The sequence below is a fragment of the Homo sapiens genome, chromosome 18, assembly GCF_000001405.40.
Source record: "Homo sapiens chromosome 18, GRCh38.p14 Primary Assembly".
NCBI classification, from domain to species: domain Eukaryota; kingdom Metazoa; phylum Chordata; class Mammalia; order Primates; family Hominidae; genus Homo; species Homo sapiens.
Genome location: NC_000018.10, coordinates 47,152,281 through 47,176,392, shown reverse-complemented (window position 1 = coordinate 47,176,392; position 24,112 = coordinate 47,152,281). Strand labels below are relative to the sequence as shown.

The window sequence follows — 24,112 nt, the reverse complement described above, 5'->3', positions numbered from 1 at the left end:
GAGTTCGTTTTGGGCCCCATCGGCTTCCGTAGGAAGGCGCCGGCCGTGGAGGCGCCACGTCCCTTGCGGCGGCGGGAGAGAAATCGCTTGGACTTCGGGGCGGCCTCGGACGGCCATGGCCTTTACCCTGTACTCACTGCTGCAGGCAGCCCTGCTCTGCGTCAACGCCATCGCAGTGCTGCACGAGGAGCGATTCCTCAAGAACAGTGAGTGGGACCGCGGGGCGCGGGCTGGGGCGGCGGCGGAGTCCCCGGGGGCGCGTAACCTAATGGGGCCGCGTGAGGGGACACCAAGGGCCGGGACAGAAGAACAGCGGAAGGCTCGGCTTGGAGTGGAAGCCGAGCCTTTCCTCTCATCAGGTTTGGGCTCAACAGCCGGGAGAATATTCAACAGACACCCGCTGTGCAGGGCCCAGGGGGTTGGGGTGGAGGGATATAGAAGTCAGTCAGGGACGCCTCTGCTTGCGATTACTTCAGGTCAGTAATTTAATTCAGTTTTCTGTGACTACTTTTTTTTTTGAGGGGGAGTCTCGCTCTTTTGCCCAGGCTGAAGTGCAGTGTCGCGGTCCTGTGACTACTTTTAATAGTCGAAAACCCGGGGTCTGAGTTTCGGGCTAAGAGTTGGGGGTGTGGGGCCGGGCGCGGTGGCTCCCGCCTGTAATCCCAGCACTTTGGCAGGCCGAGGCCGGCGGATCATGATGTCAGGAGTTTGGGACCAGCCTGGCCAACATGGTAAAACCCCGTCTCTACTAAAAATACAAAGATTAGCCGGACGTGGTGGTGGAAATACAAAAATTAGCCGGGCGGGAGGCTGAGGCAGGAGAATCACTTAAACCTGGGAGGCAGAGGTTGCAGTGAGCCGAGATTGCGCCATTGCACTCCAGCCTGGGCAATAGAGTGAGACTCCGTCTAACAAAACAAAACAAACAAAACAAAACGAGTTGGGTGTGGAGGGGAAGGAGGCGTGACCCATTTTGGAGCATCAGTAGTTCACTAACTGATGGAAGGCAATAAGTGTTCCTGGGCTTTAGGAATTACAGGAAGGGAACGTGTTGGAGTTATCAGGACATTCAGACACTCATGTTCCAAGAAAAGTTTATTCAGATAGCTTATTGGGTGCATAGAGTGTGCCAAAAACTCTGCTAGAATTTAGAAATTCAAAAATGAAAACACAAGTTATACCTTCCAGGACCTCACGTTGTGTACCAAGTATGCCCGTTTGAATCACTGAAACGTAAACCCAGGAGCAAGATTGATTCATTTCATTTACTTCAGAAGATATTTATTGAGTGCAAAGTATGTGCCAGGCCCATTTATAGTAACTGAAGTTACAGCAGCTACTCTGCCCTTCTGATGGAAGTTAATCTAAATAAAAACTAAACAAATGACAATAACAAGTATAGAGAGTATTATGTAAGAGAAGTACGGGCAGATACTAACTTGTGTATCTGCGAAAGCTTCTTGGAGGAAGCGTGTCTAACCTGAAATCTGATACATGAGTAAACATTAACTCGGTGAAGGTGAAGGGTTGGGAGGAGCTGGAAGGGTGAGGAGAGCTTTAAGCAGTGTAGACCTGGTGTGAAAACTGAGGCAGGTGAGAAGAGGGTCTTAAGACAGCGACATGACCAGATTTGTGTTATTTGCAAGATCCTTGAGGCTACAATACGGAGGAAAGATTGGAAGGGAAAGCAGTGGATGTGGGAAGACCCATTTTTTTTTTTTTTTGAGACGGAGTCTCACCCTGTCCCCCCGGCTGGAGTGCAGTGGCGCAATCTCGGTTCACTGCATCCTCCGCCTCCCAGGTTCAAGCGATTCTCCTGCCTCAGCTTCCCGAATGGCTGGGATTACAGGCACGCACCACCAAGCCTGGCTAATTTTTGTATTTGTAGTAGAAATGGGGTTTCACCATGTTGGTCAGGCTGGTCTCGAACTCCTGACCTCGTGATCTGCCCACCTCGGCCTCCCAAGGAAGAACAATTCTAAATAGGGCAAGTAGATACAAGTGGGTATGACAACAATAATAATAGCTAATACTTACGTAGCACTTACGTACAGGATCTGTATCAAGTGCCTTACATATATTAACTGGTGTAGCCTTCACAGCAACTCTATGAGAGAGTTTCTGTTTTCCAGTGGAAAACTAGAATCACAAAGAGAGTAGGTGGCTTTTGTAAGAACACACAGGTAGAAAGTAGAAAGTGGTGGAGCTAGGATTCAAATGTCATCTTCCAGAGTTCATCTGTTCACCGCTATCCAGAAAAGTAGAAGGGATCAAGTTGGGGTTTGAATTGTGTCCCTCAAAAAGATGTGTTGAAGTCCCAACCCTTGATACCTATGAAGGTGACCTTGTTTGGAAACAGAGTCTTTGCAGATATAATCAAGTTAAGATGAGATCATACTGGGTTAGATTGAGGGCTTTAGAGCCAATGACTGGTGCCCTTATAAGAAAAGAGAGATTTGGAGACACACAGATGCACACGCAGAAGATCATGTGACAACTGAGGCAGAGATTGGAGTGATGCATATATAAGACAAGGTATACCAAGGATTTCCAGCAACTACTGGATGTTAAGAGAGAGGCATGGATGAGATTATCCCTCAGAGCCCCCCAGAAGGAACCAACCCTGCTTACGCCTTGATTTCAGACTTTTAGCCTCCAAAATTATGAAAAAATTTCTGTTAAGCCACCCAGTTTGTGCTGCTTTGTTATGGCAGCCCTAGGAATTTTATGTGGATCAAAAGATATTTTAAAAGTAGAGGCTGGGCATGGTGGCTCATGCCTAGCACTTTAGGAGGCCAAGGTGGGCAGATCACTTGAGGTCATGAGTTTGAGACCACTCTGGACAACATGGTGAAACCTGTCTCTACTAAAAATACAGAAATTAGCAGGGTGTGGTGGTGGGCGCCTGTAATCCCAGCTACTCTGGAGGCTTAGGCAGGAGAGTCACTTGCCTGGGAAGCAGAGGTTGCATTGAGCTGAGATCACGCCACTGCACTCCAACCTGGGTGACAGAGCAAGACTATGTCTCGAAGGAAGAAAAAAAAGGTATAAAAGGCAGAATTTACTCTTGGACTTTGGGAATAAGAGTGGATGAAGTCAAAGATCTCTTGGCCCTCTGGGTTAAGCCACTGAGTGAAGGGTAATACCTTTACTGAGTTAAACAGTATTGGAGGAAAATTTGGGGTGATGGTGCTAGGTAAGAAGGTGAAGATATAATGAAATAAATTTTAGTCATGCTCAGTTTGAGATTTCTATGAGATACGCAAGTGGAGATGTAAAATAGCCAGTTGCATTTAAATCCATAGAACAGCAGCACGAATTAGGGCGGAGATTGAAATTTGAGTTTGTCAAGCATAGATAATAAATGAAGTCATGTGAGAAGATGAAATTATGAAAGAAAACAGTAGAGTACAAAAAGAATTGGTGCCCCAGACAGCCCTAGAATCTCCTCTAGTATTTATTGTTTAGGTAGAGATGGAAGAACTGACAGGAGAACTTGACAAGTGAGCAAAACAGAGAGATGGAAAAACCTAGACAGTGGGATTTCACCAGAGTCAGGAAGTGTTTGAAGAGATACTACAACAGTGGGATGTTACTGAGTAGCTTAGTACAGTAGTCCCCCCTCATCTGTGGTTTGTCTTTCCACACTTTTCAGTTGTAGCCTGCCATCTGAAAGTACTAATTGGAAAATTGCAGAAATAAGCAATTCATGTTTTAAATTGCAAGCTGTTCTGAGTAGCGTGATGAATCCTGTATCATGAGGACATGAATCTTCCCTTTGTCCAGCATATGCACATTGTATATGCTACCCACCTATTAGTCACTTGGTTATCAGATTGAAAAAAATACACTACATATACGGTTGGGTACTATCTTCTGTTTCAGGCATCTACTGTGGAATCTTGAAGTGTATCTCCAAGATTAAGGGGGAGGACTACTGTAAGTTAAGGACTGAAAAGAATCCTGATTCAGGGTAGTGGAGGTCATTGGTGATTTTATAAGAGCAATTACAGCAGTGGGTAAAATCCAGATTGGAATGGATTGGGAAGTGAGTAGAAAGTTATAAAATGGAGACAGTAATATTATCCAATGTTATCTTTAAGTTGGAGGAAAAGAAGAAAAGGTAGCTTGAAGGGATATGGGGGTGTGTTTTATGGTGGTGGTTTTGTTTTTAGAGCTTGAGGTATCTCAGCAGTGACAGTGAAAACTAGCCCTGTCTCTTCAACAAGTCAGCACTATGAAGAGAGTGGAGGAGGGGATGATCAGTGAGGCATATACACAAAATGTTTTCTAAGAAAGACCAAAACAGAAGGCCCAGCACCGTGGCTCATGCCTGTAATCCCAGCACTTTGGGAGGCCAAGGTGGGCGGATCACTTGAGGTCAGGAGTTCGAGACCAGCCTGGCCAACGTGGAGAAACCCCGTCTCTACTAAAAATACAAAAAATTAGCTGGGTGTGGTGGCACCCAGCTACTGGGGAGGCTGAGGCAGGAGAATGGCTTGAACCCAGGAAGCGGAGGTTGGAGTGAGCTGAGATCCCACCACCACCCTACAGCCTGGGCGACACAGTGAGACCCTGTCTCAAAAAAAAAGACCAAAAAAGAGAAATGTCAGTCTGCTAAATCTCAGAACAGTAATAGTCTCTGTCATTTGAGCCACAACCTGCTCTCGCAGCCTCCACAAAAAAAAAGCAAAAGGAAGGAAGTAATAAAGATTACAGTGAAAGTTAATGAAATACATAGTAGAAAAATACTAGAATTAACAAAACCAAAAGCTGATTCCTTGACAAAATTGACAAGTCTTTAGCTAGACTGACTAGACTCAAGTAAATGGGAAATCCGAATAGACCTATAACATACAAAGAGAGATAATGAATAATTTAAAAACTTCTCATGAAGTCAAGCCTTCAGCATTGCTTTCTACCAAACATTTAAAGAAGACTTAATACCAATTTCTCACAAACTCTTCCAAAAGATGGAGGGGATAGGACACTTTTCAATTCATGCCATGATGTCAGTATTAACCTAATATGAAAACCAGACAGCGACATCACAAGAAAAGAGACTATCGACCTATATCTCTTTTGAATATAGCTGCAAAAATTCTCAACGAAATACTGGCAGACTAAATCTAGCAACCTATAAAAGAGATTATATACCATGAACAAGTGGGATTTGATTTATCTTGGGAGTACAGGATTGGTTTAACATTTGAAAATCAGTTATGTAATCAGTGATATTAATAAAAATCACACAGTCTTCACAAAAAATGCAGAAAGGCATTTGACAAAAATCCAGTACCCTTTCATGATAAAAAAAAAATACTCAACAAACTAACAATAGGAGGGAACTTTCTTAATCTGATAAGGAGCATGTATGAAAATTCCCTAGTTAACATCATACTTAATGCTGGAACACTAAATTCGTTCCCTGATGTGGAATAAGACAAGGATGTCCTCTCTTGCCATTTTTATTTAACATCATAATGGGGATTCTAACCAGGACAGTTAGACAAGAAAAAAGAAAAGACATCCAGATTATGAGGTTGAAAAAATAAAACTGTGTTTATAGATGACATAATTTTGTATATATAGAAAATCCTAAAGAGTCCACTACAAGGCTATTAGGACAAATGAATGAGTTTAATAAGATTGCAGGATTTAGGAACACTATATAAAAATCATTTGTTTTTCTGTGCACAATGAACAATTGTAAATGAAATAAAGGAAATAATTTTATTTACAATATTAAGAAGGATGAAATACTTAGGAATAAATTTAACAGTACAAGTTTCATGCTATGAGAACTATAAGGCATTGTTGAAAGAAAGAAGATTAAAGATCTTTTTAAAGATAAAGACTTCCCATATTCACAGATCAGAATACTTAATATTATTAAGATGATAGTACTTAATATTGATTTATAGGTTTAATGTGGTGTCTATCAAAATCCCAGTTAGCTTTTTTGAAGAAACTGATGAGTTGATCCTAGAGAAAATGCAAGGAATCCAGAATAGTCAAGACAATCTTGAAAGAGAAGAACAAAATTGGAGGAGTTGTGCTTTCCAATTTTAAAACTTAGTGCAAAGGTCCAATAATCAAAACAGGATGATGCTGGCATAAGGGGAGACATAGATCAATGAAATAGAATTTAAAGTCCATTAAAAAATCCTTACATTTATATCAATTGATTTTCAATAAGGGTGCCAAATAGCCTTTTCAACAAATTGTGCTATAATAACTGAATAGCCATATAAAAAAAAGTAAAATTGGACTCCTACCTCACACCATCTTCAAAAATTAACTCATAATCATAGACTTACAAACTGTAAGATAAAAAGCTATACAACCCTTAGAAGAACATACAGACAAAAAGCTCTGTGAGTTTTGGTTGGGTAAAACCATCTCAGATACGATACCAGAAGCACAAGTGCCAAAGAAAAAATAGATAAATTGGATTTCATCAAAATTTTAAAAAGTTCATGCTTTAAAAGACAACCACAGACTGTGATAAAATATTTACAACTCAGGTATCTAATGAGTGATTTCTATCCAAAATATATAAAGAACTATTTGAACTAAATAATAAAAGATAAATAACTCAATTAAAACATTTACAAAGGAACTGAATAGAATTTTTTCCAAAGAACATAAGCAAATGATCAATAAGCACATGAATAGATGGTCAACATTATTAATCATTAGAGAAGTGCAAACCGAAACCATAATGAGATACCACTTCACACCAACCAGGATGGCTATAATAAAAAAGTTAATAAATAATAAATATAATAAATAAAAAAGTTAAAAACACTAAATAATAACAAGTATAGGTGAGGTGGTGAAGAAATTGGAATTGTCGTATATTGTTAAAGAGAATGTAAAATGGTTCAGCCACTTCGGAAAACAGTCTGGCTGTTCCTCAAAATGTTAAACATGGTTACTATATGACACAGTGATTCTACTCCTAGGTATACCAAGAGTATTGAAAACAAACATGGAATGTTCAAAATAGCATTATTCATAAAAGCCAAAAAATGGAAACAACCCAGATGTCCATCAGCTGATGACTAAACTGTAGATATCTATACTGTAGAATACTATTTGGCAAAAAAGTAATGAAGTATTATTACACACTACAATATGGATGAACCTTGAAATCATTATATTAAGTGAAAGAAGCTAGTCGTAAAAGACCACATATCATATGATACTGTTTATAAGAAAGACCACATAGCATGTGATACTCTTTATGCTAGGCAATTTTATATAGACAGAAAGTAGATTAGTGGTTGCTTGGTGCTGGAGGGCCTGAGGTTGTGGGAAGTGGTTGCCAATGTGTACAGGGTTTCTTTTGGGGTGGTAAAAATACTCTAAAATTGAATGTGGTGATAGTTGCACAACTCTGAATGTACTTCAAACCATTTAATTATATGTATGAATTGTAAGGTATCCAGAAAGCTGGAGGGTCTTTGTTTGTTTTTTGAATTACACATTCTTACCTGAAAATAGGAAGTTTTGATAAGGTTATAGAACAGTGTGAACTCATACTCTGCTGATGGAAGTATAAATTGGCACAACCACTTTGAAAAACTTTTTGGCAGAAGTAACTAAAGCTCATCATACACATCTTCTATGGTCCTACAGTTTCACTCTTATACAAATGCTCATAAATATGTGCACCAAAAGACATGTATGAGAATGTTCATAGCAGCATAATCATAATGAAAATTAGAAATGGTAGAATGACTAAATTGTATTCATATAATGGAATGCTGCATAACAATGAAAAAGAATGAACTGTGGTCCTACAAAGCAATATGGATGACTGTGACACAATTTGAGCAAAAGACAGGCACAAAAGAATATATATTGGATAATTCCTTTACCTAAAGTTTAAAAATAGACATAACTAATCTATATTGCTATCTTCCTTCATGGTTTTGAAATCTAATGAGCTTTTAATACTCACTAATGCTACAGGCTGAATAATGTTCATTTCATCTTGTTAGTTATGTTTAATAACAAGTCTTTGATTATTCTACCCTTAGGTGAAACTTAAGGGATTTTTTTTGTCTTTTTTTTTTTTTTTTTGTGATGGAGTCTTGCACTGTGGCCCAGGCTGGAGTGCAATGGCATGATCTCTGCTCACTGCATCCTCTGCCTCCCAGGTTCAAGCAATTCTGCCTCAGCCTGCCGAATAGCTGGGATTACAGGAACCCACCACCACCTAGCTAAAATTTTTTTTTTTTTTTTTTTTTTTTTTTTTTGAGACGGAGTCTTGCTCTGTCACCCAGGCTGGAGTGCAGTGGCACGATCCCGGCTCACTGCAACCTCTGCTTCCCAGGTTCAAGTGATTCTTCTGCCTCAGCCTCCTGAGTAGCTGGGACTACAGGTGCTGCCGCCACCACGCCTGGCTCATTTTTGTATTTTTAGTAGAGACTGTGTTTCACCATGTTGGCCAGGCTGGTCTTGAACTCCTGACCTCAGGTGATCCACCCGCGTCGGCTTCCTAAAGTGCTGGGATTACAGGTTTAAGCCACCACGCACAACTGGGATATGTTTTAGAACACCTGCAATGTGTCTAACATTGTTTCAGACATTTTGGGTTTATAAGAGAAATACTTGGTTCTTGCCTTCAAGGAATGTAATTTATTTAAATAAACTATATGAGCTAATTGGAGAATAATAAGTGACAGTTAACTTCACATTATTGATTGGGGTAATATAAAATATACTGTAATTCCATTCCATCTCCACAGCTAATTTAGGAAAGCATAGATTTGTATGATGTCTGTAGCATCTCAGAATTTGTAGAATGGTCTCAATTTTGTGTATTTAAAGCCATTGTTCCAATAAACCAGTAATTCTCACTTGAAAGTATATTTCAGAATTATTAAAAGAGCATTTAAAAAATATAATGCCCAAACCCTACTCTAGATCTATATTCAGATTTTTAAAGTGAAGTTCAGTAGTGTGTATTTTCCAAAATTTGTGCAGGTGATTGAGATTTGTGCCCTTACATTAAAAACTCCTGGTACAGGGGGCCGGGTGCATTGGCTCATGCCTGTAATCCCAGCCTTTTGGGAGGCTGAGGCGGGCAGATCATCTGAGGTCAGGAGTTCGAGACCAGCCTGGCCAACATGGTGAAACCCTGTCTCTCCTCAAGTACAAAAATTAGCCGGGCTTGGTGACACTCTGCCTGTAATCCCAGCTGCTTGAAAGGCTGAGGCAAGAGAATGGCTTGAGCCCAGGATGCAGAGGTTGCAGTGAGCTGACACTGCGCCACTGGACTCCAGCCTGGGTGACAGAGTGAAACTCCATCTCAGAAAAAAAAAAAAACTGCTACAAACTATTAGAATGGCCCAGAAATATTAATACTTTGCCGTCTGGAACTTTGTCTTCCACATTTTGTCTTCTCTACAGAGGTAGCCTAGAAATATTTTGCCTGAGAATGTGTTTTGAATGTGGTCTCCAAATTAAGGGAACACACTACATTGGCTTGTCTAAGTGGATAAGGTTGTTTAAAAATATCTAAATATGTTTTAAAATAGAAGTTTAAAATATTTTAAATACTTACTAAATATTGTTTATATAGGTGCTTTCTTGTTGCCTAGGTTTTTTTATTTTATTTGTTTTTAATTTGGGTTTTTAGATAAGCAAGCATAGATTTTTGTAGCAAACTCCTTACTGGTCATCCTGCCTCCAGTTTCGCTTCTCTCAGGTGAAGCTGAGCTTGTTCTTCAGTGGTTTGAAATTCTTCAGTTCTTCAGTATCTGTAGCCTTCAATATAAACTTCAACACTCTCATGTGATTTACAAGCCTACCATAAGGTGCCCCTTCCTCCTCCCCCTCCTCTTTTATCCTTCCCCAGTATTTGTCCTGTGTACCATTTTTACCACTGCTGAGCCTTTACTCATTAGTGACCTTGACTTAACCCCTTTAAGTGGTTAACTCCTCAGCCTGTCAGTTAAGACCTACCTCTGGCATTGCCCTTTCCCACAAACTGTCTGTGACCCATCTCCATGGGTCATAGCATCACTGTAGTTTCTTTTCTGTCGAGGCCAGTAGACTGAGAAGGATCCTCTTATCTTTACAGTTCTGTCAATCAACGAATGTTTTCTAAATAATTAAATAACTTTATCATTATATTCTTGCAATTCCTGATATGAGGGATATGTGTATTCTTATAAATAATTTAGCCAATATTTTGACAGTGATACAGGGAATATGTGGTTTCTTCCAGTTTTCCACAATGATGTTAATTTCCTTTTAGTGCAAGAAAAAAAAAATGCCACATAATGAAGTGGATTTTGATACCTGCAAAAAATTGTTCTTACTAGAGTTTTTGTTTGCTTTATCCAGTACCAGTTTGACAAGTATTTATCATATCCAGTACTAGGTATATGTTATGAACACCACAATAGAAACATCCCTCACATAAATCAGTGTATTAGTCAGCTCAGGCTGCCATAACAAAATACTATAGACTGGGTAGCTTAAACAATTTTCTCACTGTTCTGGAGCCTGGAAGTCCAGGATCAGGGTACTGGCATGGCTTGGTTCTGGTGAGGGCCCTCTTTCTGGCTTGCAGATGGCCAGGCTTCAGGCCATAGCAAACAGTTAACATACCACACACTATTACTTGATTTAGGGTTTATTAATAAATGATGGCTCTAGACCAATATATTATTTTAGATTTTAAAATAGTGAGTGAGCTATTGTTGAATTTTAAAAAGCTTTTGTTGAATTTTATCAGGGATTAAATGGAAATAATATAGAACTAAGAAAAAGCAGTATACCAGATAATTTACTTCTGCATGTATCTTTTTTTTTTTTTTTTGAGACAGAGTCTTGTTCTGTCCCCCAGGCTGGAGTGCAGTGGCACTATCTCAGCTCACTGCAACCTCCATCTCCTGGGTTCAAGCGATTCTCATGCCTCAGCCTCCCATGTAGCTGAGATTACAGGCACATGCTACCACGCCCAGATAATTTTAGTAGTTTTAGTAGAGGTGGTTTTTTGCCATGTTGGCCAGGCTGGTCTTGAACTTCTGGCCTCAAGTGATCTGCCCGCCTTGGCCTCCCGAAGTGCTGAGATTACAGGCGTGAGCCATCACACCTGGCCACCATTGATCTTTCTGATAAAGGTACTTTTTAAAAACTTACATTAGCAGAGTTCTTTGTGTAGTTTATTAGGCACTTTCATGTTTATGATAGCATTTGATCACATGTAAACTTGGTAACATTGACAAAATCACTTTCATTTTCTTTTACAGATATGGAAATTGATCTCAGAGAGGCTGAGATCTGCTCAGGGTCAGCAAGCTCTCAAAACTGTTACTAGTACTTTTTCTTCAAAATATGTGTGTCGAGCGTTTTTGGCTGAGCCTGGATGGATTGCCATTTTGTATGTGACTTTTTGAAGTCTGGACAGCAGAAGAATGTGTTTGGTGGTTGCAGTCAGTAACTTTTTCTATTCAACTTTATTTCTGAAATTAAGGCAGCAAGTACTGCTGACTGGTCTTATCATTTATTCTCTGCCAGGCCCTCTAGCTGTGGAAGTGACAAGAAAGCCAGAGAATTAAATCTCTCTCTCTCTCTCTTGTTTTTTTTTTTTGGAAAGAGGGTCTCTGGCACCCAGGCTGGAGTGCAGTAGCATGATCACAGCTCACTGCAGCTTTGGCCTTCCAGGCTCAAGCAGTGCTCCCACCTCAGCCTCCTGAGTAGCTGGGACTACAGGAGCATAACACCACACCTGGCTAACTTTTTAACTTTTTGTCAGGCTGGTCTCGAACTCCTGGGCTCAAGCAATCTTCCCACCTCAACTTCCCAAAGTGCTGGAATTGTAGGTGTGAACCACCACACCCGGCCAAATCTTTCTCTTAAAAAGAAAAAAAAAAAACGAAAAACAGCAATGCTTCTTAAAGCTTTGGCTAGGTTCCTGAGAAAAACAACTGAGACTCCCTATATAGCAGTTGGAGGGTAAACTATTTGTTTTAGTAAAAGATAATCCCTGGCCCCTGATCTTTTACTTGTCACATTTTTATTTGTATGTGGAATATCTAGACTAATTATTTACTCTCTCCATCCAAAAATTCTCCATCCATTTTTTTTTTTCATTCTGGTGGCATAAGAATAGAGACTGGGCTGCAATTAACTAACTTACTATATGTTTAAATTACTTCAGTGGTGATGCTTAAATTATGTTAATTCCGGTATTGTAGAGTTTTATCTTGTTTTGTTGAAGAGCAATTTTTTTTTTCTGGGAGTCACTCATCTCACATGTGAAAAAATATGTTTAAGCAATTTTTTGGAACAGATCTAAAAGAAAAAAAGATTGCTGGGAAGTATGGTTTCCAATAAAAATTGAGTGCATAATCCATATAGTACTTAAGACAAATCCTTTTTACCATATGCGAAATTGTGGCTGTGGATGGAAAGGATTGATAATTTTACCAATGATACATTTTAAAACAAGTAAAGAAAATGAAACTATCAATACCATGTAAAGGTGGTTTTAAAACATAATTTTAAATAACATGATGCCACAGAACTCATCCTAGCCCTCAGGATATTCATGTTGTGGGGAGGAAGACCTAATTGCAGAGGGCTTTCTTTTTAAATTTTGTTTTTACTTTTATCAAAGTAATATGTGTATGATTTTCAAAGTCAAAAAGCTCATCAGTTTATAAAGAAAGATAGAAGCCATTTGCCTCATTCCTCCTCGACCTGAGCCCCATTCCTTAGAAGCAAACTATTGACTTATGCTATGGAAGGGTTTCACACAATTATACCACCAGCAGCACACTCAGGCTTGAGCGAGCACAAGTATACTAGTCCTCCCTTATTTCACAGTTTCGCTTTCCACAGTTTCAGTTACATGCAGTCAATCACAGTCTGAAAATACTGAAATGGGAAATTCCAGAAATAAGTAATTTATACACTTTAAATTGTGGGCTGTTATGAGTAGCATGATGAAGTCTTGCACCGTCCTATTCCATTCCACCTGGGACATGAATTACTCATTTGTCCAGCATCTCCGTGCTATGTATGCTGCCTGCCTCAGCTAGCTGTTAGTCACTTAGCAGTTGTCTTGGTTATCAGAGTAAATGTTGTAATATCGCAGTGCTTATGTTTAACCCTTATTTTACTTAATAATGACCCTAAAGTGTAAGAGCAGTGATGTTGGCATATTGTTATAATTACTCTATTTTATTATGAGTTACTGTTATTAATCTCTTACTATGTCTAATTTATAAATTAAACTTTACCAGAGGTGTGCATATATAGGAAAAATATATATAGTATATATAGGGTTTGGTACTATCTATGGTTTCAGGCATCCCCTGGGGATCTTGGAGTATATGCCCCATAGATAAGGGGGGATTACTGTACACATACTTCTCAAACTCTCCCTTCTCCAACCAATTATTGGTTATATCAGCATTCCATATTTACATTATCACTATGAATATTGCTCATAGCTGAATGGTAAAAAAAAATGACTTTTATTCTTATAGTTGATTTGTGATGTAGATATAGCATTCTAGATTGAAACTAATTTTTCTGCAGAGTTTTGAAGACATTGTACCTTTTAATTTTCTCATTCATTGGGCTGTTTTCTGATTGGACCCTTTTGGCTAAAAAGGCTCATGTCCTTCGTTTGGGGATCTTTTCACTTATTATTTCTTCAATAATTGCCTCTTTTTTTTTCTTTCTTTTTGGAACTGATTATTTTGACAGATTTATACTCCAATTTTCTTTTTTCTTCAATTGTGTTTGGTAGGTGTTCTTAATTTCATCTTTCAACCCCTGTTTTTGAACTTTTAATCCTAATGTAGCAAGAGCTGCTTGATCCCTGGATGGGATCTGTTCTTAGGGTATTCTGTTTTTGTTTCATAGCTACAATGGCTTTTATCTAAGGATGTTCATTTAAAAAATGCATTTTTCTACTTCTTGCATCTTCTCTTCCTTAGAGTCTCCATTTCTATTTGATATGTCTTTCCATATTAAGAATTGTTCTTTCTTGACTATTTGTTTAATTGTAAGGGACTGAGAAGCTCTTTGGAAGTTCCATGTGTGTAGTCAGGGCTTGTTTACTGGTGTCTCAGTGTTAAGTGAATGAAGAAATTGGCTATTTCATTGAGGTGAGGCCCCCAAATGTCAGTATTGGGAGGAAGTCTTTCTTCCGACAACTGGCCAATTTCCAGAATAATTTTCCTAATAGGTCTGTGGCCTGGGGGTTGGGGACCCCTAAATTACTCTCACGGACCTATTAGGAACTGGGCCACCCAGCAGGAGGTGAGTGGCAGATGAGTGAACTAAGTATCATCTGTATTTACAGCCACTCCCCATGGCCCACATTAGTGCCTGAGCTCTGCCTCTTGTTAGGTCAGTGATGGCATTAGATTCTCATAGGAACATGAACCCTGTTGTGAACTGTGCATGCTAGGGATCTAGGTTGTGTACTCCTTGTAAGAATCTAATGCCTGATGATCTATCACTGTCTCCCATCATCCCCAGTTGGGGCCATCTAGTTGCAGGAAAACAAACTTAGGGCTCTCACTGATTCTACATTATGGTGAGTTGTATAATTATTACAGTATGTATTACAATGTAATAATAATAGAAATAAAGTACACAATAAATGTAATGCACTGGAATCATCCTGAAACCACCACCACCCCCCAACCCATCTGTGGAAAAATTGTCTTCCATGAAACCAGTCCCTGGTGCCACAAAGGTTGGGGACTGCTGGAGTAACTGACTGCAAATAGGAATACTTGGAAGGGTGTGGTAGGATATAAAACTAGAATGTCAATTTAAGGAGTTTGGTCCTTATTCAGTAGGCAATGGGAATCGAGGTAGCAAGATCTAACCCTTTAAGGGAGAAAACTCAAAGGGTTGAGACATCAAGATTACAAGGTTATCTATTGAAAGAGTCTTGCAAGAGATAGCAAAGGCTGCGATAGTGACAACTGTGATGGTAGTTGTACTATGGGAATTCAAAAAAGAACGAAACCCCTGTGGACTGGAAGCGCTATAAGCAGAACCTGAGCTAGGTTCTGTGAAGAGTGAGTAGGAGTCAACAACAGCCCTGTTGTAAACTTGAATTTTAAATTAGTTTTATACCACAGCATATCTCAGTGACAAAAAAGCAAACAACCATTATTTAGCATTTTATTTCAACCAAATAAAAGTTGATTAAAAGTGAAGTCTTATTTCCTGATATTTGAGTCTTTCAGGTATATCTATTTAAAAAAACTGTTCTCTTCAAGTTTAAGGGTTAGCGTGTCAGGAATTAATTAAGCCCTGTAGTCATATGAGATAGGAAAAAGTGGACCTGAAATGAGGACAAGAGAAGGACAAATTGCAGAAATGAGGACATGTAAGTCTTCAGAAGAATGTGTCACACAATAGAATTAATGCGTAAGGGTGAAGAAATAATGATTTGTAGTATCATAGGAGAATAACAAAAGAATGTAAAAGACTCACAGAGAATAAGAGGGGTAGTGGGCTAAATTCCTCAACTCAAAATTAATAAATGAAGAGGAATGATCAAGGAAAAAGGGGAAAAAAGATATGTCCTCCTGGCAGGCTAGAGCATGTTTTGGAAGCCTAACCAAGCTATTACAGGTTTGGATCATAATCTCAAAAGTCCTGGATGCCATAATTCCTAATGTTTTGAACCCCAAAAGATTAAAATCCTGAATGTTGAAATCTTGAAAGCTGAATTTTGGGGAAGGGATTAGTGTGTTTTTGGGTATAAACAGGATAGTTATATCATGTTAGGTGCATCATGTTAGGCGGAACTATTACCATGTTCTTGTCTTTATTTGCATTTGGTGGGAAATTCAGGTGAGTGGATTGGCTACCAGATGCTGCAGTGGTGAAAACTTCAGTTTAAAAATGTGTCATTTGCCTGCGTTAGCATTCCTTCCAGCCGATGGCATTCCAGGAACTTTTAGTGAATTGAACCCGCATTTGCCTGAAGAAGCCAGCGAAGTTACTGACTGGTTCAAAAATAATTATGTGCATAGTAGGGTAAGAAGACAGTGATGCAGCAGTATTGCTGTTTGATCACCAGTGTTGTTTCCACCAAATTTGTGGTCTCTATATAAGTGGATGTGGAATGTATTTCTGGGTACCCAAAACAACACAGAAGCATGGCACAGAGGATGGGAACTTTTTTTTTTTTTTGAGACGGAGTTTTGCTCTTGTTGCCCAGGCTGGAGTGCAATGGCACGGTCTCGGCTCACCACAACCTCCACCTCCCGGGTTCAAGCAATTCTCCTGCCTCGGCCTCCTGAGTATCTGGGATTACAGGCATGCGCCACCATGCCCAGCTAATTTTGTATTTTTAGTAGAGACGGGGTTTCTCCATGTTGGTCAGGCTGGTCTCGAACTCCCGACCTCAGGTGATCCGCCCACCTTGGCCTCCCAAAGTGCTGGGATTATAGGTGTGAGCCACCGCGCCCGGCCAAGGATGGGAACTTTTAATAGGGAAAGCTCATGTTGATGTATATCAAACCATAGAAGAATTTCAAAAAGAGCAAGTGCCACCTAGAAAATGAACGTGAACATTTTGTCTGAGGAGAGCCATGTCCTAAAAGAAAAAAAAAAGCAGCTATTCATTGTGACGTAGGACATCAAAATATAGTTAATGATGGAGAAAGCCAACCAGCTCTTAAGGAATATCTCCATGCAATTGCCCATAATCTCTCCCTGTAATAACACATTATCACATGTTGATTTTTTTCAGCTTTCTTCTTTTTCTTTTTCAGTTGTTTTCACTATTTTCAATTGTCAGCATGATTTTTTACAATTCCCAATGCTATGTATTTCATCTTTACATCATTTGCAATACTGGAGGTATAAACTGTGTAGAGACTTTTGAGAGTTCTAATTTGTTTTATGCATTCTTTGCAAATTTGACTGCAAAAGTACATTACCACAGTGTTGACTTTGTGTTTAGGCATTGTGCATGCATGTAAAAACGTTGAAACTTCCTCAGTAAATAAAGAAAGGTTCTTTATATCTGTCTGCATTAGTGAAAAATAAAATTTCTTGTTATCTTGGCTCTTTGGTCAATTGCATATGCAATGGTGACCTACTGTAGTTTTTGATCTGTCAAAAGACTTAGGTTGTTTGTCACAGTACTTCAGATGACCACAGTTAGATAAAGCTAGGTGAGCACACTTACTAACCATAGTGATAATGTGTTTATACATTTCCTTTTTGACCTCTTTGTGAATATGGTTCACCTGCTCATGGCTGTTATACCTGTGTGACTGTCATTAGCATACCTTAGTGCTGCAAAAATATATATATGCTGTCATTGCCTATTTTTTTGTGTAAAGTGGCCTTTGAAGTGTTCTGTTGTGTTTTTATGTTTCTCAAATGACACATTTGCCTCTTTAAAAAAAATTTTTAATTTGAGACAGGGTCTCTGTTGCCCAGGCTGGAGTGCAGTAGCATGATCATGGCTCACTGCAGCCTTAACCTCCCCCAGGTTCAGGTGATCCTCTCACCTCAGCCTCCCGAGTAGCTGGGACTACAGGCGCACGCCATCACACCTGGCTAATTTTTGTATTTTTAGTAGAGACAGGGTTTCGTCATGTTACCCAGGCTGGTCTCGAACTCCTGGGCTCAGGCGATCCACCAGCCTTGGCCTCCCAAAGTGCTGGAATTATAGGCGTGAGTCACCATGCCCAGCCCCCAAATTCTTTAAAAGATAACTCCCCTTTTAAAAACGTAAATGAGGGCTGGGTGCGGTGACTCATGCCTGTAATCCGGGAGGCCAAAGTGGGTCGATCGCTTGAGCCCAGGAGTTCAAGACCAGCCTGGGTAACATGACGAAACCCCATCTGTACTAAAAATACAAAAATTAGCCGGGTGTGGTGGCGTGCGCCTATAGTCCCAGCTACTCGGGAGGCCGAGGTGGGAGGATCACCTGAACTTGGGGAGGTTGAGGCTGTAGTAAGCCGTGATTACACCACTGCACTCCAGCCTGGGCAACTCCAGCAGGGTGACAGAGTAAAACCTTGTCTCAATTTAAAAAAAAAGAAAGAAATACTTAGGCCGAATGCAGTGGCTTGTACTTGTGTAATCCCAGCACTTTGGGAGGCTGAGGTGGAGGATCACTTGATATTAGCCTAGGCAGCAAAGTGAGACCCTGTCTCTATATTATGGTAATTTTTGAAAAAGAATCTAAAAAAGTATTCTTCCTAGAATTACGTTTTTGAGATTTTGATATTTCTTGTCATTTTGGGGATTTTAGACTTCAGGATTTTGATCTTTTGGATTTTCAAGATTTGGTATCCTGGTGTTTGAAAAGATTTGTGTATTTTGGTATTATGATTGACTCCCACTTTACCAGGTTTACTTTAAAAGTTTCCCCAAGTAATGTAGACAGTGATTCTCAGCTACAGCATTTTTATATTAATGATTGTGATGGATTTTATAAATTCTGAATTGAGCTAATTATAATAATTATATAGCTTGACAGTATGCTTTGGTTTTTAGTTGTGACTTGAGAAGTATTTTGTATGATATTTTAAAAAAAGGAGAAAAAAACAGTTACAAAGATCATCTTCACTAAATTAAATGCCATGGAATAATTTAGATTGTAGTTTGTTTTATAAAATCAGTGTAAATGTAGTGAAATGAGGGTGTTGCTGCTATCAAAAGTTAAAAAGAAAACAAATATTTAACTCATTATTGTTTTAACTTTTCTTAAAAGTCATATGACTTTCTACTTTGTCTTTAACAAGGTCTCAAACTAATCTTTTAGAAGATGACAGGGAGGAAGGCAAGTGTGTAATAACTTTTAACACAGCTAATCTTTACATTATACAGTTGGCTGGGGAACAGACCAGGGAATTGGTGGATTTGGAGAAGAGCCGGGAATTAAATCACAGCTAATGAACCTTATTCGATCTGTAAGAACCGTGATGAGAGGTAAGAAGAAAAGCTAATAGAGCATTCTTAAGTTTTAATGTTGTGGTTTAAGTAGCAAGGCTTCTGAGTGTGAATACCATATATGCCATTTGTAGTGGGAATTTTTTTTCTCTTTAACATGGCTTTGCTGCTTGAAAGTTACTGGGTTTTTTTTTTTTTTTTCTTAGTTTGCTTCTTACTTCTATCTAAGCCAGTTGGTACAAATAGAATGCTTAGTATAATACATATAATCTGTTTGTGTGTTACCTGTCAGAGCTAAAAGACAAAATTATATTCTTGCCTTTTGGAAACTGTTGTTTCCAAGTTGTAAAATCACATACAGTATTGGGAGGTTTCCAAGAGAAAGCTGGGCGTGTTGGTTTACTCCTGTAATCCCAACACTTTGAGAGGCCAAGGCAGGCAGATCACCTGAGGTCAGGAGTTTGAGACCAGCCTGGCCAACATGGGTGAAACCCCGTCTCTACTAAAAATACAAAATTAGCCAGTGGTGCATACCTGTAATCCTAGCTATTTGGGAGGCTGAGGCAGGAGGATGGCTTGAACCCGGGAGGTGGAGGGTGCAGTGAGCTGGGATTGTGCCACGCCACTGCACTCCAGCATGGGAGACAGAGCAAAACTCTGTCTCAAAAAAAAAAAAAAAAAAAACCAGAAAAGAAAAAAGAAAAATAGAGATTTCGTATCTGTCATTCTATTGGAAAATATTTTTGAGCAATTCAAGAAAAAAAGAGTTCAAAAATCTTTTATTTAAAACCATTATAATTAGTACCTCTTCTCCCTTTACTCACAACCTTGGATACAATGTTAAATAAGTTCATTTTTAATGTAGTAAAATGACACTACAGAATCTTCTATGCACTATATTTCTAATATCAAGTGTCAGTGGCAACCCTGTGGGTCTACGTCTGCCAGGCTCCAGTGCACTCATGTTCTTGGGGTTGCACCGGGACTATCCACAGATGTTTCACATTGATCTAGCTGTTCCAGTGCAACCCTTACTCCCAGTTATACAAGTTCTCTTTAAAATAAGTTTTGGATCTCATGATCCAATGTATTTTAGAATGTTTCTTTGTTATAACTTTTTACAACATGATTATGATGACATATTGTTAGATATTTCTATTGTTCCTGGAGGCTAATTATTATTTTCTGGTTTTTTCTCTGTTTTTTCTTTATAGTAACAAACTTTTTTTTTTCTCTTTACAGTGCCATTGATAATAGTAAACTCAATTGCAATTGTGTTACTTTTATTATTTGGATGAATATCAGTGGAGAAAATGGAGACTCAGAAGAGGACATGCCAGTAGAAGTTATTACTTTGGTCATTATTGGAATATTTATATCTTAGCTGGCTGACCTTGCACTTGTCAAAAATGTAAAGCTGAAAATAAAACCAGGGTTTCTATTTATCTGTTTTTTTTTTTAATGTTGCACTTGTAGTTTCATTACAAAAGATCAGATCATGAAAGGCAGTAACTCTCCAGGACTGGAATATCTGATTGCTCAGTGTTAATAGTAGTTCATGCTGTGGTGAGATTGTTAAAAGGGTGCAAGACTGTTGCTTCTCTTTTTTTAGATATTTTTCTATCTCTCACTTCTCAGGGATGAAATTCTTTTTCAAAGTTTTGAAGTTCCTTGCAACTTAGCCATGATGTGAGTGGTTATCCCTAGATAAAATTAAAAGGATTTTTAAAAAGTAATTACTGCACATAAAATGATAAATAGGTAATTTGAATAATTTTATTTTAAGCTCCTTGGTTAATTATTTTGTCTATTGTCTCAGCTATAAATTCAAATTTATACATACTATTGAGTATTAATATTCTCTGATTTCAGGGAGAATTCTGTCAGTCACATGATGATTATGTTTTTGTTTAACATTCTTTCCATGCACTTGTTATTTTATTAATTTGCCTGAATGATGAGACCAGACCAGTGTCTACAGATTTTCATTGTCAGAAAAATCTATAAGTCTGCCCTTTTTACAATGATGATTTAAAAAAAACAACAGCGTAAATATTAGCCCACAAGAGCAGTCCTAAACAATCACAATTACACTGTACTACCCAAGAAGACTGTTTATTGTGAAGCATTTACCTTTCAAAAAATCATTACATTTCTATTTCTTGGTGGAGCAGCACATTGTGGAGTGTGATTCTTAATTCTTCATTGAGTTTGTCAATAGGACATTGATGCTGGATAGGTTGTCTTTTGTTTTTATGTCTCAGACCATCTTGTGAGATTGTTTGCCTATCTCATAATACAGTTTTATGCAGAAAGGTTGAAACTATGTAAATGGTTTTTATGGAAATTATCAGTTACAATATTTTAAAGGTGTAGAATGGCATCTTTGTTTATAGGAGAACATTTGTAAATAAAGTTAAATTTCTAAGTCAAGCACTTGTTTTTGTACCTTAGTATAAACCTGTCAGTGTTAACTGCATTAATCTCCATTTTGGGTGAACACCTCTTATTATATGTTCTTTGCTGTAAAATTGCCGAGTATAGAGTTAATGAAAGTAAATATTTACATGTATTTTTTTTTCTTCAGTGAATTAACTGAATTGCTGACATACATCCAGAAGACTCATGAGCACCTTTTATTTCATGACTTCAGTTACTTCTAAAACTATGGAGCAGGTATTAAGTACCTTTTGGCCTTTCCTAAGTTAGAGATCAGTGATCTTTGGACTATAGGCTTGCAGCTAGTCCAAGGAAAGTACCAAGGATTCTTAGTTGATTACTTGGCTCATGTGAATGACTAATTTGGTACTTAGAGGCCGTGTTCTTTTAGCCTTACAAAGAACTGATGCCTGAGTTCAAGTTTGAGCTACTGAAAAGATTCAAAAGAAGCAGTTACTTGAGGGCAGGCCCATTTCCCCATATGGTATGAGCAGTACAAAATTTTTTAAAATGAAAGAAAAGAGAGACCTTGATCTGATGTTATTTTTCATATAAGACATTACAGCATACCTTCATCTTAATTCAGTGTTGGGATTTTGTCCAAATATTCCATCAGGGAGCAGTCACAGAAGGGCCAGGATCAAAGTATTCTGTAGCCAAGTAGTTCTGAGGAAAGTGAAGCACTGAACTGAACATCAAAATATGTCATATCTGGAGGCCACTTCATAATTCCAGTTTGTGGCTGAAGAGGGGTCTGTAAGCTTTCACTGGTCAGCCCTGGTTTCCCCAGAGCAGTTGTGATTCAGTAAACAGAGTGTGTTATTTTAGTAGACAGTAACTTAAGTGCCTGTTGGCCTGCCCATGTCCTCCCCTTTATCTATTACCAGGATTAACAATTTGTGATGATTCTGGACTCCAAATACCGATGATGTTTATAGTCCTTATGTATTCTGGCCCTGTGTTTGCATGTCTCTGAACTGTGCGAAGGTTCTTGGCTCTAGTCTGTAGATATTAACCAAATTCATCGCTAATCAAGTACAGTGGTTTTCAAACTTTTATAGTTAACAGCAGAACCAGATTTTCAAAGGAATTCTGACACAGAACTGTAACATTCCCGTATCTAAACCAGATGAGAGTAGGTCCATTTATTTGTTTTTAGTTGAAGTAGAGCTGGGATTCAAAGGCTCACTATTCAGCCTCCACTGCACTCTTGTCAGGCTTCCCAAGGCATTTCCATAAAACCCTAAATTTTCAAAAATATAGCTAAAAAGTATCTTATAAAAATCCCTGCTTTAGCCATAAAAAAGAATTAGATAATACCTTCTGTGGGAACATGGATGGAGCTGGAAGCCATCATCCTTAACAAACTAATGTAGGAACAGAAAACCAAATACCACATGTTATTACTTATAAGTGGGAGCTAAATGATAAGACCTCATGGACATAAGGAGGGGGACAACAGACACTGGGGGCTATTTGAGGGTGGAGGGTGAGAAAGAGTGCCAGAAAAATTACTGGGTACTAGGCTTAGCACCTGGATAACGAAATAATCTGTGCCAAACCCCCGTGACACAAGTTTACCTATTTAACAAATGTACTGTACCCCTAAAAGTTAAAAAAGTAAAAATATAAAAAAATAAAATCCCTGCTTTAGGGAGGGTGGGAGGGGGTGAGGGAAACAGAAACTACATACTGAGTACAATGTACAGTAGTCCAGTGATGGGTGCACTAAAATTTCAGACTTTACACCACTATACAATTCATCCATGTAACCAGAAACCACTTGTACCCCTAAAGCTATTGAAATAAAAAGCTAAATGAGTTCCCCCACCTTCCTCTCCCCATCAAAATCCTTGCTTTAGATACAATAAGAGTAGGCAATCTGTGTTCTATATGTGTTAGATGTGTATTACTGGTGAAATGACAAGAGAAAGCAAGATATTTGACTAGTAAAAAGACTAGGAGGCAAGATATTTCTAATATATCAAGCAAACCTTTTACCATGTGACTGAAAGCAAATAAACTTCCTAAGACCTCAGTAGTTTTTGGTTGTCCTATCTGTAAAATTGGTCAATAACCTTCAGAACAGAAGTCTGGTCCAGATATATATATATATCTTTTCCAGATCACTAATGTTTGTATCTAGATGTGCTTCAACCAAAGAGATGTTCTCCTTAAGTAAAATGTTTCTTATGAAGCAAATCACTTTCTCATTGATTTATTAGTTTCTAAGTTATTACCAATGTAACATTTTGAGGCTGGGCATGGTGGCTTACGCCTGTAATCCCAACATTTTGGGAGGCTGAGGCAGGCAGATCACTTCAGGTCAGGAGTTTGAGACCAGCCTGGCCAACATGGCAAAACCCTGTCTCTATTAAAAGACAAAAGTTAGTCGGGTGTGGTGGCACATGCCTGTGATTCCAGCTACTTGGGAGGCTGAGGCATGAGAATCGCTTGAACCCGGGAGGCAGAGGTTGCAGTGAGCTGAGATTGTGCCACTGCACTCCAGCCTGGCTACACAGTGAGACTCCGTCTCAAAACAACAAAAATAACATTTTGATACCAATGGTAATGGAATTCTTCTTTGCTAAGATTTCTCTTGGCCCCTGATTTTTCATTAGAAGTCAAATATTGTGAAAACATTCGATGCAAGGACCTGGGACACAGTGGGCTATGTCCAAGGGTATCAACGATCAAGATAAGTTTTTCCTACTGTTTTTGTTCCAGTTCAGATACTGCTTTATGGCTTCACTCC

At 38.8% G+C, this 24,112-nt stretch overlaps 1 protein-coding gene across 1 annotated transcript, besides 1 other annotated feature; it reads left to right on the top strand.

Moving 5' to 3' along the window:
* Positions 1–120: an enhancer, noted in NCBI's record as "active region_13285". NCBI's record gives its function as "activates an Ori minimal core promoter by ATAC-STARR-seq in GM12878 lymphoblastoid cells {active_cell/tissue: GM12878}" and the evidence as "EXISTENCE:reporter gene assay evidence [ECO:0000049][PMID:35858748]".
* Positions 29–23,559, top strand: IER3IP1 (immediate early response 3 interacting protein 1). Its single transcript, NM_016097.5, has 3 exons — positions 29–206; positions 18,856–18,957; positions 20,161–23,559. The coding sequence occupies exons 1-3, from the start codon at positions 116–118 to the stop codon at positions 20,214–20,216; spliced, it is 249 nt and encodes an 82-aa protein (NP_057181.1). The 5' UTR covers positions 29–115; the 3' UTR covers positions 20,217–23,559.
* The last annotated feature ends 553 nt before the right edge of the window (positions 23,560–24,112 follow it).